The following is a 16826-nucleotide window of genomic DNA, read 5'->3' on the forward strand; positions in this document are numbered from 1 at the left end:
CCACGCCCAGCTGATTTTTGTATTTTTAGTAGAGACAGGTTTTCTCCATGTTGCCCAGGCTCGTCTCGAACTCCTGACCTCAAGTGACCCGCCCGCCTTGGCCTCCCAAAGTCTTGGGATTACAGGTGTTAGCCGCCGCCCCCGTCCTGGTTTTTGTTTTGTTTTTTACATAAAACGCAAGATTCTCTAAAAATGTCCAAATTTTGGCTATGTATATGAACATCATACATACGTATTAGATTCAAGCTAATACTCACTCTTCTACTCTGCTAACATGGCCAGAAGACATAAAAAAAATTTTTTTTTGAGACGTAGTTTCACTCGTCGCCCAGGCCGGAGCACAATGGCGCGATCTCGGATCATTGCAACCTCTGCCTCCCGGGTTCAAGCGATTCTCTTGCCTCAGCCTCCCGAGTAGCTGGGATAACAGGCGTGCGCCACCACGCTCGGCTAATTTTGTATTTTTAGTAGAGACTGGGTTTCACCATGTTGGTCAGGCCAGTCTCGAACTCCTGACCTCAAGTAATCCACCCACCTCGCCTCCTAAAGTGCTGGGATTACCGGCGTGAGCCATGACCCCGGCCCAGAAGACATAAATATTTGCCGGGTAATGACACCTTCGGGAATGAACAATGGTTCTTCGTTTATTATGTCACCGACCCTAACAATGACCACACAATGTACTAAGTCAACATGGCTAAGGGTGCACTATGGGTTATTTGTTGTGAATCTCTAAGACTCCATGTGATAACCAAAATACTTTATTTTGTTTTGAGATGGAGTTTCGCTCTTGTTGCCCAGGCTGCAGTGCAATGGCGCGATCTGGGCTCACTGCAACCTCCGCCTCCCGGGTTCAAGTGATTGTCCCGTCTCAGCCTCCCTAGTAGCTGGGATTACAGGTACATGCCACCACGCCCGGCTAATTTTTGTATTTTTAGTAGAGACGGGGGTTTCATCATATTGGTCAGGCTGGTCTCAAACTCCTGACCCTCAGGTGATCCACCCACCTCGGCCTCCCAAAGTGCTGGGATTACAGGCGTGAGCCACCATGCCCGACCCAAAATACTTTTTTTAAAGGTATCACAGCTCCAGGAAATAGAGCAGTAAATTGATCTGTCCTTCAGATCACCAGGACTTTCATAGGCTAAATATCTTCACAACAGACCTCCAAAACCTTCAAGGTCAGAACTGAACACACGGTGGCGAGAGGAACTGTCTTCACAGCAGCTCTGCTTCCTCGGAGACGGCCAGAGGGAAAGGCCGTTGGCCAGTGCCAGTACTTCGCCCAAGGGAGTACCTGCTCACATTAACCCAGCCCAAGAAGTTCCTTTGGCCAAGACGCACACACACACACCACTGTCCGGTTTTCTATTTCCTTCCAGTGTAACGACAACCACAAGCTATCAGCACTTCACTATTTGCTGTCCCCTCAGCGGGATCGGGATGCAGCTACGCAGCGGGCCCCTGGCGAGCCGCGGTGTCAGGGCCCTTTTCTCCTCTTCCCACCGTGGGAAGCGAATTCAGTGGCGTCAAGGGCCAAGAGCCAGACCTGAGTTTGTCTCTCACCCCCCGATGCTCGTCTCCCTTTTCTCACTGCCTTCCGCCCCCTCTGATCTCGACTTCTCGCAACCTATCCAGGTCCTCTCTGGGCCTCTGCCCTGAGTCAGCCCCGAATCAGACGGGCTTGACTCGCTGAAAGAATTCCCCTTTGAGAGGAGGCAGATTCCCCTCTACATAGACGACACCCTGACGTCGAGGGGCTTGCCCCTCGTCCGTGGGGAAGCCTTCCCGGCCCGCGGCTGGGGCCTGAGGTTGGGCCGATCACCCCTCCTACCAGTCCTAGTTCGGGTCTAGCGGAATGGCTGGGCTCCGAGAAGGGCGCCGGGCCCACGGGCGGGACGGCCAGGGCGGCCCCGCACCCTCTGGGCGCAAATTTCTCCAGCGGGGTCCCCAGCGCGGCCAGCCCCAGTCTCGCGAGAGGACGTGGGTCCCGCCCGGCGCCCGACCCCGCCCGGCCCCACCTTCCCCTCGTCCCCCGCCCTCCTTCTTCCACTCCCCGCGGCGCGAGCGGCTGACTGCCCGTAGAGGAAACGACATTCGGAGCTGCGCTCCCGCCCACGCCGGCCCTGACGCGGGCCTCGTCAGCCAGTAACAGGGAGCAGAGGTGGGAGTTAGCGAGGCGACCACGAAAACGGTGAAGGTCGGAACCGACAGCCTCCTCCGAGAAGGGTGAGGAAAGGGTCTGAGCCTCCCCGTTCCCTGGACTCCGCAGAGCCGCTGCGGGGTCGATCCCTCCCAGGGGCGGGGTCGCGCTGGGCAACTGCAGTCCTGGGGCCGACTGGGCGGGGTGCGCCCAGAAGCGGGGAGAAGGGGTCAGTTGGGGGCAGAGGGCACCCGGGCGGCGGGCGGCGGGGAACAGGCTGCGGGGCCCAGGCCAGGGGTGGGGTCCTGGGGCCGGGACTCCTGCAGCGGGCGGGGAAGCCCCCGGCAGGCCGGTCCCTTCCGCCTCTCCTTTGGACCCTGACTGGAGGCCGGCGGGCGGGCGGGCGGGCGGGAGAGAGGGAGGGAGCGCGGCGCGAGGGGGGCGGGTCCCGGCGGCGCTGGGCGCTGATTGGCTGAGCGTGTGTGGAATCGGGTGATGGGAAACGCAGCCCGGCTCTCCCGTACCCTCCCGCTCCGCTCCCTGCCCCCCGTGGCGAATGTGCTGCGCAGCGGCGGGTGCTTACGCTCGCGGGGTTTGGCTGTTGCAGGCAGGAGCTGGGAGGAGGCGGCAGCGGCGGCGGCAGAAACAGCAGCGGCGGCGGCGGCGGCAGCTGGGAGGAGGTGGTGACGGTGGCAACGGCAGCGTCGGGGACGATGGCGCGACTCGTGGCAGTGTGCAGGGACGGGGAGGAGGAGTTCCCCTTCGAGAGGAGGCAGATTCCCCTCTACATAGACGACACCCTGACGGTGAGCGGGCCGGGCCGGGCTGGGCCCGCCGCTCCCCTGGCAGCTGTTTCCCCTCCTCCCCCTCCCCCAGGCCGAGCGCTGCGCACTGGAGAAAGAGTGTGTTGCAACTCCTAGGCGAGGCCTTCTCTTCAGCAGGCCCCACAAACTCGCCTTTGCAGTGGGTGGCTCGGTAACCTCTGTCGGCCCCAAGCCCAGAGCTCCGTACGCACTCCCTCTCTCCAGATTTTCCTTCTTTTGGAACCTTATTCCTTGACCCTTTCCCTTTAGGAGACGCTGCTTTTGTCAAAGCACACATCTCAGAGAGGGGTTGAAGGATCTTGGGCGTTTAGGGCCTACCCCATACAGAAACCACCTACCCTCGGGGAGGCTTAATTACCTGGTAATGTCGCAGCTGCACTGCTACCTGTGTATTTTCTGTTTTAATACTGGTAGCTCTCACCACATAAGCTTAATTACTGGGGGCAGAGTGACATGCTCGTGCACAGTCAAGATTCCACTAAAATGGTTTGATTTCGTTGTAAATAGTCTCGTATTGCCTAATGCATTAAAACTCTTGAAATGATTGTATTGCTAGGCCCTTTCTTCAAAACGGGCTTTCTTCGCATTATTTAGTTTACAGGTGGACTTTTTTTTTTTTAAAGGAAGCCAAATTATTGAATGTGTAAGAGTACTATAAAAAGCTGATTGCTCATCTTGAGTGTCAAGACCCAGTTCCGGGTACTTTATTCTTTAGATTTGGTAGTGTAGCATTATCGACCCTCTGCCCTATGTTGCTGTACTGTTTCCTTTAAAAGGAAATGGCTGAAATTTGAATTGAATCTGAACAGGAAATGAGTGCAGTTGCTTGCCACTTAAGAAATGAAATTAACCTTTTCCGAATATCTTTTGAAATCTGCGTTTTGATGATGCTGAAGCTTTGGATTATACATTTGCTTATTTCGATAAGGTGCACCTAAGTCTCTTCATCTCATCAGTATTCTTTTGCTATCAAAGGCAGTTGATCAGTTTTGTTCCTCAATATTTTTTTTTGCAAATATCTACCGAAGTTTTTTCAAATTTTATGTAAAATGCAAGTCATTGTAGAGATGCCAGTCTATGCCTTTATGCTTGCCAGTCTCAATTAAGACTTGATTGAGCTGCAGTACTTTAAAAAGGATTAGAAGAGCTATTGAATGACTTAATTTATTAGAAGTTTTTAAGTGACAGCATTTCTAATTATTCAAGTGCATTTATTTTTCATGAAAAAAGGTAGAATGATTTGTTCTGACATAAAGTAAATAGTGTTGATGCATTAGAAATTGTGTGTCTTGATTATGATTTCTGTACTTTTTGCATTAGAAGTATAATGGACTTGTATTTTTAAATAGTTGAAACTAGCACTGTGATCATATTAAATAATGCATTTCTCAGTTTGGACTTCAGATAGGGATTCATTTGTTGATATTTTCTTTCTTCTCTCCCCTGCTAACATAAACACTTTTCTGAAGCATATAGTTATGATATCAGCCTTTAAGGTTTATTGTCCCACAATGGCTGTGGAGTTAAAAAAAAAAATTCAGTGAGTTTGGATATAAGATTATTATTTAATGAATAATCATAACATAGGAAAACATATCAAAACATAGGGAAAACCAACATAAATAGTCTTCAAAAGACACTAGTTCTTGGTATATTCACATAACCACCTTTGTGAATGCAGCACATTAATACATCTGTCATATAGCACTTTAAAATGGCCAACTTTTTAAGTGCTTTTATACTGTATTCTCTCCACAATGATGTGACTTTCCAAAATTTTCCACTGAAAAAGATGTAACCTTGCAATGTGGTTTAGTATGGAACTTACTTTGCACTGTATCTGGCGGTTGAATTTTGCTTTTATTGTACTGTGGACTTGTGACTAAGGCAAATAAAACTTAAGCTCACTTAATTTAAATATCTCAAAATAACATTTAGGAAAAGGTGCAGTTTTTCTTTGCTTCAGAATGGGTTTTTATCACAAAGGAATGAGTGAGACATTTATTTGTGCTGGGACTTCTGCACAGTCATTGAATGCTGTGAGTGAATGTTAGTGAAAATTCTTGTCAAGGGAAACAAGTTTCTTTCAGGATATTCTACCAAATACTACTGAAAGGGAGAATGCAGAGCAAAACACCTGTTGGGAGAGAAGGGGAAAAGGGAAGAGGGAAGGAAGATGCCCCTATCAGAGTTTTATGCTCTGCATTGTTCCTTTGATAGATGGCAGTGGATGCCTGAAGTTAACCTTAGGTTTTGTCTTTGTCCCTAGGGTCTGTAGGTAATGCACTGAGGAAACATTGTTTGAACTTATTTCAAATAGTAGTCTTAGGATTTTGATAGTAGCTAAATGTTGCAATATAGTTACAATGTTTACAGGCAGTTGCAGACTTTATCATTTTAGTTGGGATGCTGAAACTTTACCCTTAGTTAAACTGGCAGTTGTAATTTGGACTTGTAAAATGAAATTAACAAACTTGTATGTAAAGAAGTAGCCTTAGGCTGGGTTTGGTGGCTCACGCTTGTAATCCCAGCACTTTGGGAGGCTGAGGCAGGTGGATTACTGGAGGTCAGGAATTCAAGACCAGCCTGGCCAACATGGCAAAACCCCGTCTCTACTAAAAATACAAAAATTAGCCAGACATAGTGGTGGGTGCCTGTAATCCCAGCTACTCAGGAGGCTGAGGCAGGAGAATCCTATGAACCCGGGAGGTGGAGGTTGCGGTGAGCCGAGATCGCACCACTGCACTCCAGCCTGGGCAACAAGAGCAAGACTCTGTCTCAAAAAAAAAAAAAAAAAAAAAAAAAAAAAAAAAAAAAGTAGCCTTAGGCCCGGTGCTGTGGCTCATGCCTGTAATCCTAGCACTTTGGGAGGCCGAGGCTGGCAGATTGCCTGAGCTCAGGAGTTTGAGACCAGCCTGGGCAATGTGGTAAAAACCTGTCTCTACTGAAATACAAAAAAATCAGTGGGTGTGGTAGAGTGTGCCTGTAGACCCAGCTACTGATGAGACTGAGGCAAGAGAATTGATTGAACCCCCAGAGGCGGAGGTTGCAGTGAGCCAAGATTGCGCCACTGCACTCCAGCCTGGGAGACAAAGTGAAACTCCGTTTCAAAAAAAAAAATAGCCTCTTCTTTTATGTGATATGTTGTGTCCATGTTTAGAAGATTCCCATGGTAGTTCAGTGAGTTTGAACACCTGAGTATAGGATAGGGCTGATGTAGGTGTACTTGAGAAAATTCCAAATAAGTTGGTGGAATGGTGAAATATTTAAGAAAGTTTTATACTCTGGCTAAAATGTTGTTCAGTGTTACTACAATTATAAAATAACAGATAGAATACATATTTGATTTTAGAGAAATCTGAAGAATTAAAGTTTTTTTTTTTTTGAGACACAGTCTCGCTCTGTCGCCCAGGCTGGAGTACAGTGGCCTGATCTTGGCTCACTGCAACCTCTGCCTCTCAGGCTCAAGTGATTCTCCTGCCTCAGCCTCCTGAGTAGCTGGGATTACAAGTGCGTGTCACCACGCCCAGCTAATTTTTTTGTATTTTTAGAAGAGATGGGGGTTTCCCTATGTTGGCCAGGCTGGTCTTGAACTCCTGACCTCAGGTCATCTGTCCGCCTCGGCCTCCCAAAGTGCTGGGATTACAGGTGTGAGCCACCACACCCGGCCAAAATATATATTCCTTCTAAAATCTTGAAAAATAACTACAAAACAAATTACCCTTAGTCATGCTTCTCAGGGATAAGCACATTTGGTGTAATTTCAGTCCTAGACACACAGATACAGTTAATATATTCTGTAACTTTTTGTCCTTATTTATTTCACTAAATGTAATTTTGAAAACATTTTTTCTTGTCATTCTTAAACATTTTTAATGGCTGTGTAATATTCCGTTGTATGACATTCTGTAATTATTTTTCCACTGTTGGACATGGAGGTTGTTCTAGTTTTTGCTATGAATAAACTGTAAGAACATAAATAATGCAAAAATCTTTGCATTAAAATGTTTTCTCAGGCTTTTGGAAGTGGAATTACTGGTTGGATCAAAGGATAAGAACCTTTTGTAAAGTTCCAGGTACATATTGTCAGATTGCTATGATATTTCTTTTTTTTTTTTTCGAGATGGAGTCTCACTGTGTCACCTAGGCTGGAGTGCAGTGGTGTGATCTTGGCTCACTGCAACCTCCGCCTTCCAGGTTCAGGTGATTCTTGGGCCTCAACCTCCTGAGTAGCTGGGATTACAGGCGCCCGCCACCATGCCCGGCTAGTTTTTGTATTTTTAGTAGAGACGAGGCGTCACCATTTTGGCCAGGCTGGTCTCGAACTCCTGACCTCAAGTGATCTGCCTGCCTCGGCCTCCCAAAGTGGTGGGATTACAGGCGTGAGCCAATGCGCCCGGCCAGATTGTTACATTTCTGCATTGCAGTTTACTCTCCTAATTTAAACCAATCTAAATAGACTACTCTGATAAGAGTTTGGGGTTTTGTTTTTTTTTTCTTTTTGTTCTTGTTTGCATGTACAGCATTAATCTGGTAAGAGTTCTTAATGTCTTACACTTTAAAAAAATGATAAATGGTGGCATATCCACTTGGGAATTAGATGTTTTGTAATTGTTAAAAGTTAGCATTTAATGTTTTCTTTCAACTTTTAACAGTTAATTTTACTGAGGGTGATAGATGTTACAAATAGCTGTGTGGAGTAAAACCAAAATGACAGTGATTTTAATAAATGCAAACTTAGTATATTGTTGGTTAGAACTTGTGAGAATGCGCTAAAAACAGGTTTTTTTTGTGGTCAGGAGAAACCAGAACAGATACTTAAGAGTGAAAGTGGGTAATTGATTCAATAAACTTTATAAAGCAGTAATTGCAGCACAATGACTTGTTCTATTTGTTGCTAGCTATGGGTAGGGAACCTCTTCATGAAGCTGAATGCTAATGATGCCTCTATAAAACCACACCTGAAATACTTTACAGGACTGTCTTCCTTTAGGTAACCTAGAATCTCAAGATTAAGTTAAGGAAGTGGTTTTAAAGAATGAAGAACAAATTGTGCTACTAGCCTCTTTGCCTTCCCCTTTTTATTTTCATCTCTTAAAACACTGAACAGCATATAGTGATTGGCCAGAAAACAGTAAGGTAAAAAGCCATTGTCCTAAGTGTTTGAAAGGCGAGGACAGAGTATTTAGTTTGAGTGCATTGTCTCCAGCCAGAGTAGTGAGTAAATACAAGAGAAAATTTAGTAGTATGCAAGCTGATGAAACCAGGAAAGATAGAAATAGATTAGATCTTAGTATTTTTGCTACTAATTAGGTGAAAATGAAATGATTGGAAACAAGTTTTGTTTTTAAAAATAACCGTGTTCTTTATTGACTTTTTTTTTTTTTTGAGACCGAGTTTTGCTCTTGTCGCTCAAGCTGGCGTGCAATGGCACGATCTTGGCTCACCACAACCTCCGCCTTCTGGGTTCAAGTGATTCTCCTGTCTCAGCCTCCCAAGTAGCTAGGATTACAGGCATGTGCCACTATGGCTAATTTTTTGTATTTTTAGTACAGACAGGGTTTCTCCATGTTGGTCAGGCTGGTCTTGAACTCACGACCTCAGGTGATCCACCCGCCTGGGCCTCCCAAAGTGCTGGGATTACGGGCGTGAGCCACCGGCTTCTTTATTGACTTCTTAGAAAGAATTCCTAAATCAGGTATTATCCATATAATTAAAATATTTTAGGCTGGGCGCGGTGGCTCATGCCTGTAATCCCAGCACTTTTGGAGGCCTCGGAGAGTGGATCACCTGAGGTCAGGAGTTCAGGACCAGCCTGGCCAACATGGTGAAATCCTGTCTCTACTAAAAATACAAAAATTAGCTGGGCATGGTGGTACGCCTGTAATCCCAGCTACTTGGGAGAATTGCTTGAACCTGGGAGGCAGAGGCTGCAGTGAGTCGAGATTGAGCTACTGCACTCCAGCCTAGGCAACAGAGTTGAGACCCTGTCTCAAAAAAAAAATTTTACAAATCAGCTCGCAGGTCTCAGTATTATTAGATGTGTTCTTTGATCTCCGTTTCAATTTTTAAAACAGTTGATCAGAATATAAATACATACTGAGTCAGAATTTAGGATTTTGCCTAAGAACCAGACTGGAGAGATTTTGATTTGGTTAAATAAGGAATATTCTTTGTTTCTTAAATTGATAGCTTTGATCTTTAAACAGTATAGATAATTGTCATTTTTTATTACGGCTATTGGTATGTGGTGAAATGGTGTATATTTGTATCAAGCAAATGAAAATATAAATCAAGGTATTAGTTACTTAAATGGTAGGTTTGGAGTGACCTCCAATATTCTGTTGAGTTACATGGCTCTAAAAGTTTATACCTTTTTAATGACTTGACAGTTAAATTTTTGTGTGTCTTAAACCTTTTGATGATTCCAGAAAATATGAGTTAATTGAACTATTAACTATTTTATTGCTTTTATTATAATAGTTTTCTGGACCAGGATTTCCAATACCAGGATTATTATTATTTTTTTAAATTTGAGTAGAGCATGTTAATTAGAATAAATACAATAGGCAGTATGGTTCATTAGATATTTTGCTCTTTTCAGTCATCCTCACCAGATTATTGATAGCTACAGCATTAAAATAGACCATTGACTTCAGTTTTGCTTTGTGCTGTTGATAAAGTTAATGTATGAAAGTGCTTATAACAATGTCTAATACACATGAAGTGTCTTTATTATTACTTATTGCTACCCCCCTTTAGAGGTATTAATAAGACTGAGAAGGAAAACTAGAAACAAGATGTCAGGGTTGATAAACCTGAAAATTGGATAATTGACATTTGGACATTTCATCTGTATGCATGGAAGAAAAAACTTTCAGAATGGTAAAAGCTATTGAAATGGGTCAGGCGTGGTGACTCACGCCTGTAATCCCAGCACTTTGGGAGTCCGAGGCAGGCAGATTGCCTGAGCTCCGGAGTTTGAAACCAGCCTGGGCAACATGGCAAAACCCTGTTTCTACTAAAAATACAAAATATTAACCATGTTTGGTGGCAGGTGCCTGTAATCCCAGCTACTCAGGAGGCTGAGGCAGGAGAATTGGTTGAACCTGGGAGGCGGAGGTTGCAGTGAGCCGAGATTGTGCCACTGCACTCCAGCCTGGGTGACAGAACAAGACTCTGTCTCAAAAAAAAAAAAAAAAAAAAGCTATTGAAATGGAAGCATGTCTCTAAACATGGTATAGTGAATATAGAATTGGAAGCAAGGAGCATTAACTCTTCCCCTGCCATAATATATAGTATATATGCATTGTAATACATTTGGGAAATATAGGAACACATACAGAAAAAGTTGTCTTACTACCTAGAGATAGCCACATCTAATATGTTTTCCTTTTTTGAAAGATAAAGTATACACACTGAAAATTTGAAGTGTGTTGCACATGCAGTCTGGATTATGTTAGTATTTGCATCATAGTCTATCCTTTAGTATCTATTTGTCTCTGTACTTCATATATCTCATATTCCTCCGTTATCAAGAAAAACTCTTAAATCTATTGCTTACGTTTGACTTAGCTGTTAATGAGGCCTCATTTTGCTGTTAGAACAAACATGTTTTAAATTTCTCTAATATGGAAGGAAAGGAATGGTTACATCTATTAAAGAAGCAGGTCTCTGGTGCTGGTTGGGGAAGGGAGTGATCTTTTTAAGATCGCATTCAACTGGGTAGGGATATTTTGTTTTTGCCTTAAATCGGTGTTTTTCTCTTGACTTCACTCTTTGATTTTGTAGGAGTTTGTGGTCCTTGTTATGTGGCAATGTGGAAATAGTTTGTCCTAGTACGATATGTTTGATCTTTAACAATGTTTTAGTTAAGATATACATGTGTTACTTTCATTGTTTTGAAGGCATATCTTTTTCCCCCACATTTTAATACCTGAAATCAGGATGCTGCTTGAATTTGATGACATCTTATAGTAAAAATGGCTTGTAGTGATACATAACTATGGTACTAAAAATCTGTGGTGTGACAACAGATCAGTAAAATGTACTAATTACACATTCCCATTATGTGACATAGTGAAGCCTCCTTAAGTTTCATATGCCTTCCTATGGTAGTGAATTTTGATAATTGAATAAGTATATCAATGTGCCCTTTTTGTTCATAATTAGAGCAAACATTTACTATGTGCCAGGCAGGTACTGTTCTGGCCAGGCACAGTGGCTCACGACTGTAATCCCAGTACTTTGGGAGGCTGAGGTCAGGAGTTCGAGACCAGCCTGGCCAACATGGTGAAAACCCATCTCTACTAAAAATACAAAAATTAGCTGGGCTTGGTGGTGGGTTCCTGTAATCCCAGCTACTCGCGAGGCTGAGGCAGGAGAATTGCTTGAACCCAGGAGGTGGAGGTTGTGATGAGCTTAAATCATGCCACCGCACTCCAGCCTAGGTGACGGAGCAAGACTCCGTCTCAAAAAAAAAAAAAAAAAAATGGAAACTTGTCTTATGTACTTGAATTTTTTTTTTTTTTTTTTTTTTTTTTTTTTTTTTGACAGAGTTTCACTCTTGTTGTCCAGGCTGGAGTGCAGTGGTGCGATTTCAGCTCGCTGCAACCTCTGCCTCCCGGGTTCAAGTGGTTCTCCTGGCTCAGCCTCCCAAGTAGCTAGGATTACAGGCATGCGCCACCAAACCTGCCTAATTTTATGTATTTAGTAGAGATGGGGTTTCTCCATGTTGGTCAGGCTGGTCTCGAACTCCCAACCTCAGGTGATCCGCCGCCCCCCACCCCACTGGCCTCCCAAAGTGCTGGGATTATAGGTGTGAGCCACCGCACCAGGCCATGTACTTGGATTTAACAAAATTTTTTGAGGGGCTAGGGATGGGTGCAAATCTGGCTTTCACGGGTCTATTTCTGGAGTTTGTAGGCTGTATCCTGTTCTCAGAGGGGTAAAGTAATTGATTTCCGTTCTGTTTGCATTTTAAGATGGTGATGGAATTTCCTGATAATGTGTTAAATCTCGATGGACATCAGAATAATGGTGCACAGCTAAAGCAGTTCATTCAGGTAATAGTTTTTTCAATCAGTGTTTTTAATGGTGTATGTGTATTTTAAAGACTCATTTAAAATTTAGCTGTATTAATTTTATATAGGATTCTCTAGGTCTTAATATTGCACTGGAATTGCTCTTTCACCATTGCTATAGTAAGCATGCATAGTTATTTACATGATTTATGTAACTGCCATGTGAAAAAGAATTGGTGGTGGTGTGTTAATATTTTACATGTCCATAAGACTTTAATTTTAAAACCAGGCCATCTTTCCTAGTTTTTAAAAGATAAGGTATATAATTTTTCATTAAAAACTTGTTGGTTTTCTGCTGTACTAATTGTTTTGTTCAGACAAAGTAATCCTATATTATGAATTTTCTGATGTTTGTTTAATTCCTGAGAAATATAGTGCTTTATAAATACACTTAAATGCAATGTATAGTGGTCCCTCAGTATCCGTGGGGGATAGTTCAAGGATCCCTAGGCAAACCAAAATCCACAATGCTTATACAAAATGATATAGTAAGGGCTAGGCATGGTGGCTCATGCCTGTAATCCCAGCACTTTGGGAGGCCAGGGCAGGTGGATCGCTTGAGTTCAGTAGTTGGAGACCAGCCTGGGCAACATGGCAAAACCCTGTTTCTACAGAAAATGCAAAAAAGTTGGGCAGACATGGCAGCATGTGCCTGGGGTCCCAGCTCCTCCGTAGGTTCAGGTGACAGGATCTCTTGAGCCCAGGAGGCAGAGGTTGTAGTCAGCTGAGATCGCATCACTGCACTCCAGCCTGGGCAATAGAGTGAGACCTTGTCTCAGAAAAAATAAGATGTATATTTGCATGTAACCTCTGCACATCCTCCCATATACTTTAAAGCATATTTAGATTACTTATAGTACCTAATACAATGTAAATGCTGTGTAAATAGTAGTTATACTGCATCTTTAGGGAATAATGACAAGGAAGAAAAGTCTGTACATGTTTAGTATTTCCTGTCAAATATTTTCGATCCTTGGTTGGTTAAATTCACAGATGTAGAACCCATGGATATGGAGGGCTGACTGTAATTAAGATATTGGAAGATGACTTGTTAGTTTACTTCAGAACTCTTATTTCTACTTTTAGGAAAACTTTGAATGGAAGGGTAATGGTAAATGTGAGAAAATGCTTCTTGGGAATTGTCCTACTTTCCTATCCGTTTTTGGCAAATCTGAAAGTGTTAACTGCAGTTAACTATAACTCCATCAGGTAGAAGTTACTTACTAGAGTTTGCTCATTTCTCTGCAACAGTAGCTCTCAGTTATTTTTCTACCTTGTCATAACCAGCAGATACAATTCATAAGCAGCAGCATGCTAGTTACTTCCCTACATAAGGAAGATAGGCCATGTTTTCTCCCATTAATTCGTAATATACCTGTTCATGCCTCTGGATTGGGAATTGCTGCTCCATATGATTACCATCCTAACTTGACTCCTGTAGCTAAACATAGTGATAGTAAGTGTGTTGTTAAAAGTTGTCAAAACAAAACAAAACAAAAAAAACAGGCCAGGCGTGGTGGCTCACGCCTGTAATCCGAGCACTTTGGGAGGCTGAGGCGGGTGGATCACAAGGTCAAAAGATCAAGACCATCCTTGCCAACATGGTGAAACCCCATCTCTACTAAAAATACTAAAATTAGCCGGGCGTGGTGGTGCACACCTGTAGTCCCAGCTACTCGGGAGGCTGAGGCAGGAGAATTGCTTGAACCCAGGAGGCAGAGGTTGCAGTGAGCTGAGATTGTGCTACTGCACTCCAGCCTGGCGAGAGAGCAAGATGCCGTCTCAAAAAACAAAAACAAACAAACTTAAAAAAAAGGTACAGCTGTATTGTGCTTTTTTTTTTTTTTTTTTTTTTTTTTTTTGTGAGAGGACTGGCCTAATACTCACTGAACCAGCCCTACATTTCCAGATGCAGTACTGCTTTTTGGCATCCTAAGCAGAGTTGTTTATATACCCTAGATTCTAGAGCAAGGGGGTTTGTGGAGGAAATTCCGTACAGCATGGACAAAGCTGACTACTTTGCCTTTCTGACTCAGTTGCAGGTAGAGCTGGTAAACCCTGGCCAGGTTGTACTTTACTGCACAAGGATAGGAACCAGTAGTAGTGAAAGTGTAATTTTACGTCTTTTTAAAGGACACTCTTTCATTTTCTTTCCCTCTTTCAGCGACATGGTATGCTTAAGCAACAGGATCTAAGTATTGCCATGGTGGTGACATCACGCGAAGTCCTGAGTGCACTTTCTCAGCTTGTCCCATGTGTTGGTTGTCGTCGCAGTGTGGAGCGTCTCTTTTCCCAGCTTGTAGAGTCTGGAAATCCTGCTCTTGAACCCCTAACAGTAGGGCCCAAGGGAGTCCTGTCTGTAACTAGAAGCTGCATGACTGATGCAAAGAAGCTTTATACATTATTTTATGTACATGGGTAAGTATAATCAATTAGGAGAAAATGGGTTTGTTAAAATTTAAAACAGCTTGGTGACAGTGGCAGCTTATTTTCTTGATGGAAAGATTGAGTCTGATTTAATAATTTTATTGAGTAAGTTGTATGTACCAGTGGATGTAAAGTTTCAACTCTCCACGTGGGGAGAGGCAGACAGAAAGCAAATATTCAATTTGTCAGGGATGATAAGTTAGAAAAATCAGTAAGGGAGGTAGAGAATGGAGTGGGGGTAGAATTATTGTGGAGGATGGTCAGGGAAGGCCTCCCTGATAAAATGACATTGAATATAGATTTGAATGAAGTGAGCAAGCAAATCTTGTAGAAAACTGGGGGGAAGGCAGAGAAGGGACAGCTAGTGTAAAGGTTCTGAGGTTGGGGTTTTATTGGCATGTTTGAGGAATAGTAAGGAAGCCCTTGTGGCTGGAGCCAGATGAATGAAGGGAACAGTAATAAAAGATGGGGTCAGCAGAGTAATAAGGCCGGGCGCGGTGGCTCACGCCTGTAATCCCAGCACTTTGGGAGGCCAAGGCAGGCAGATCATGAGGTCTGGAGGTCGAGACCATCCTGACCAACGTGGTGAAACCCCATCTCTACTAAAAATACAAAAATTAGCTGAGCATGGTGGCGCATGGCTGTCATCACAGCTATTCAGGAGGCTGAGGCAGGAGAATCACTTGAACCCAGGAGGCAGAGGTTGCAGTGAGCCGAGATCACGCCACTGCAGTCCAGCCAGGGCGACAGAGCGAGACTCCGTTTCAAAAAGAAAAAAAGAAGAGCGACTGGGCGCGGTGGCTCACGCCTATAATCCCAACACTTTGGGAGGCCGAGGCAGTTGGATTGCCTGAGCTCAGGAGTTCAAGACTAGCCTGGGCAACACGCTGAAACCGAGTCTCTACTAAAAATACAAAAAATTAGCCAGGAGTGGTGGCGGGTCCCTGTAATCCCAGCTACTCGAGAGGCTGAGGCAGGAGAATCTCTTGAACCCGGGAGGCGGCAGTTGCAGTGAGCTGAGATCGCACATTGCACTCCAGCCTGGGCAACAAGAGTAAAGCTCCATCTCAAAAAAAAAAAAAAAAAAAAAAAAGGTAATAAAAGGTCCAGTCATATTTTTATTTTTTCAGACAGAGTTTCACTATTGTTGCCCAGGCTGGAGTGCAATGGCTCGATCTCAGCTCACTGCAACCACTGCCTCCCGGGTTCAAGCGATTCTCCTGCCTCAGCCTCCCAAGTAGCTGGGATTACAGGTGCCCACTACCACGCTTGACTTTTTTTTTATTTTTTAGTAGAGACAGGGTTTCGCTATGTTGGCCATGTTGGTCTTGAACTCCTGACCTCAGGCGATCTGCCCGCCTTGGACTCCCAAAGTGCTCGGATTACAGGCGTGAGCCACCGTGCCTGGCTGAGGTCTTTTTTTTTTTACTCTGAGTGAGGTGACAAGCTTTGGGAAGGTTTTGAGCAGAAGAGTGGCATAGTCTGATGAAATCTGGCTTACTTTGACCTCTGTATTGAGAATGAATGACGGCTTTGGAGGTAGTGAAAAATGGTTATAAAGGATCCTGGATATATTTTGAGGAATGAGCCAGTGGGATTTTTTGGATAGATTGGTTGTGAGGGAGGCCATCAAAGATGATTCTCAGATTTGTGATGTAAAGAATGGACAACAGGCCTTGCGTGGTTGCTCACACCTATAATCCCAGCACTTTGGGAGGTCGGTGAGGGTGGATCACCAGAGGTCAGGAGTCTGAAACCAGCTTGGCCAACATGGTGAAACCCCATTTCTACTAAAAATAAAAAATTAGCCGGGCGTGGTGGCAGGCACCTGTAATCCCAGCTACTCAGGAGGCTGAGACGGGAATCGCTTGAACCCGGGAGGCGGAGGTTGCAGTGAGGCAAGATTGCGCCACTGCAGTCCAGCGTGGGCAACAGAGCGAGACTCTGTCTCAAAAAAAAAAAAAAAAAAAAAAAAAGAATGGGCAAATGGTTACCATTTACCGAGAGGGACGAGACTGAGGAGAAATGTAACAGAGCTCATCTTTGGGTGTGCTAAGTTTGAGATAGCGATTAGACATCCAAATAGAATTCAGAGAGGTCTGGGTTAGAGATGTAAATTTGTCTCATTTAGTGAATATAAATAGGAAAAGAAGAAGAGGTCTGAAAAGTAAACCCGAGGCTTTCCTATTTAGAGATGGTGGTAGGGACTTTTGATATTTACTGTGCCTGGGCTTGAGAAAATAAGCCTTGGAGTGTTTTTGAACAGAGGAATAATGTAATCTGATTCATATTTTAAAAGGATCACTGTAGCTGCTGAGTGAGGCCTGGAATGTAAAGGGCAGAAGGTGC

At 44.1% G+C, this 16826-nt stretch overlaps 2 protein-coding genes across 8 annotated transcripts in view; one reads left to right on the plus strand and one right to left on the minus strand.

The window, feature by feature from the left end:
• MYO19 (myosin XIX) overlaps window positions 1-1947 on the minus strand; it is a 49180-nt gene extending 47233 nt beyond the window's left edge. The window contains exon 1 of the mRNA XM_047436823.1: window positions 258-1947. The gene's annotated coding sequence lies outside the window, so the exon portion shown is untranslated. The remainder of the gene's footprint in view (window positions 1-257) is intronic.
• A 103-nt stretch (window positions 1948-2050) lies between these two features.
• The window catches only part of GGNBP2 (gametogenetin binding protein 2), a 44930-nt gene continuing 30154 nt past the window's right edge, over window positions 2051-16826 (plus strand). For 4 of the 7 annotated variants that reach the window (XM_005257689.4, NM_024835.5, XM_011525266.3 and 1 more), the window contains exons 1-4: window positions 2051-2229; window positions 2751-2949; window positions 11952-12032; window positions 14215-14468. In XM_005257689.4, the coding sequence (XP_005257746.1) occupies window positions 2857-2949; window positions 11952-12032; window positions 14215-14468 (428 nt within the window). In that variant the 5' untranslated portion in view covers window positions 2051-2229; window positions 2751-2856. The remainder of the gene's footprint in view (window positions 2230-2750; window positions 2950-11951; window positions 12033-14214; window positions 14469-16826) is intronic. The other 3 variants (XM_011525265.4, XM_017025107.2, XM_047436775.1) reach the window with 1 other exon arrangement.

This window comes from Homo sapiens, chromosome 17 (assembly GCF_000001405.40).
Source record: "Homo sapiens chromosome 17, GRCh38.p14 Primary Assembly".
NCBI classification, from domain to species: domain Eukaryota; kingdom Metazoa; phylum Chordata; class Mammalia; order Primates; family Hominidae; genus Homo; species Homo sapiens.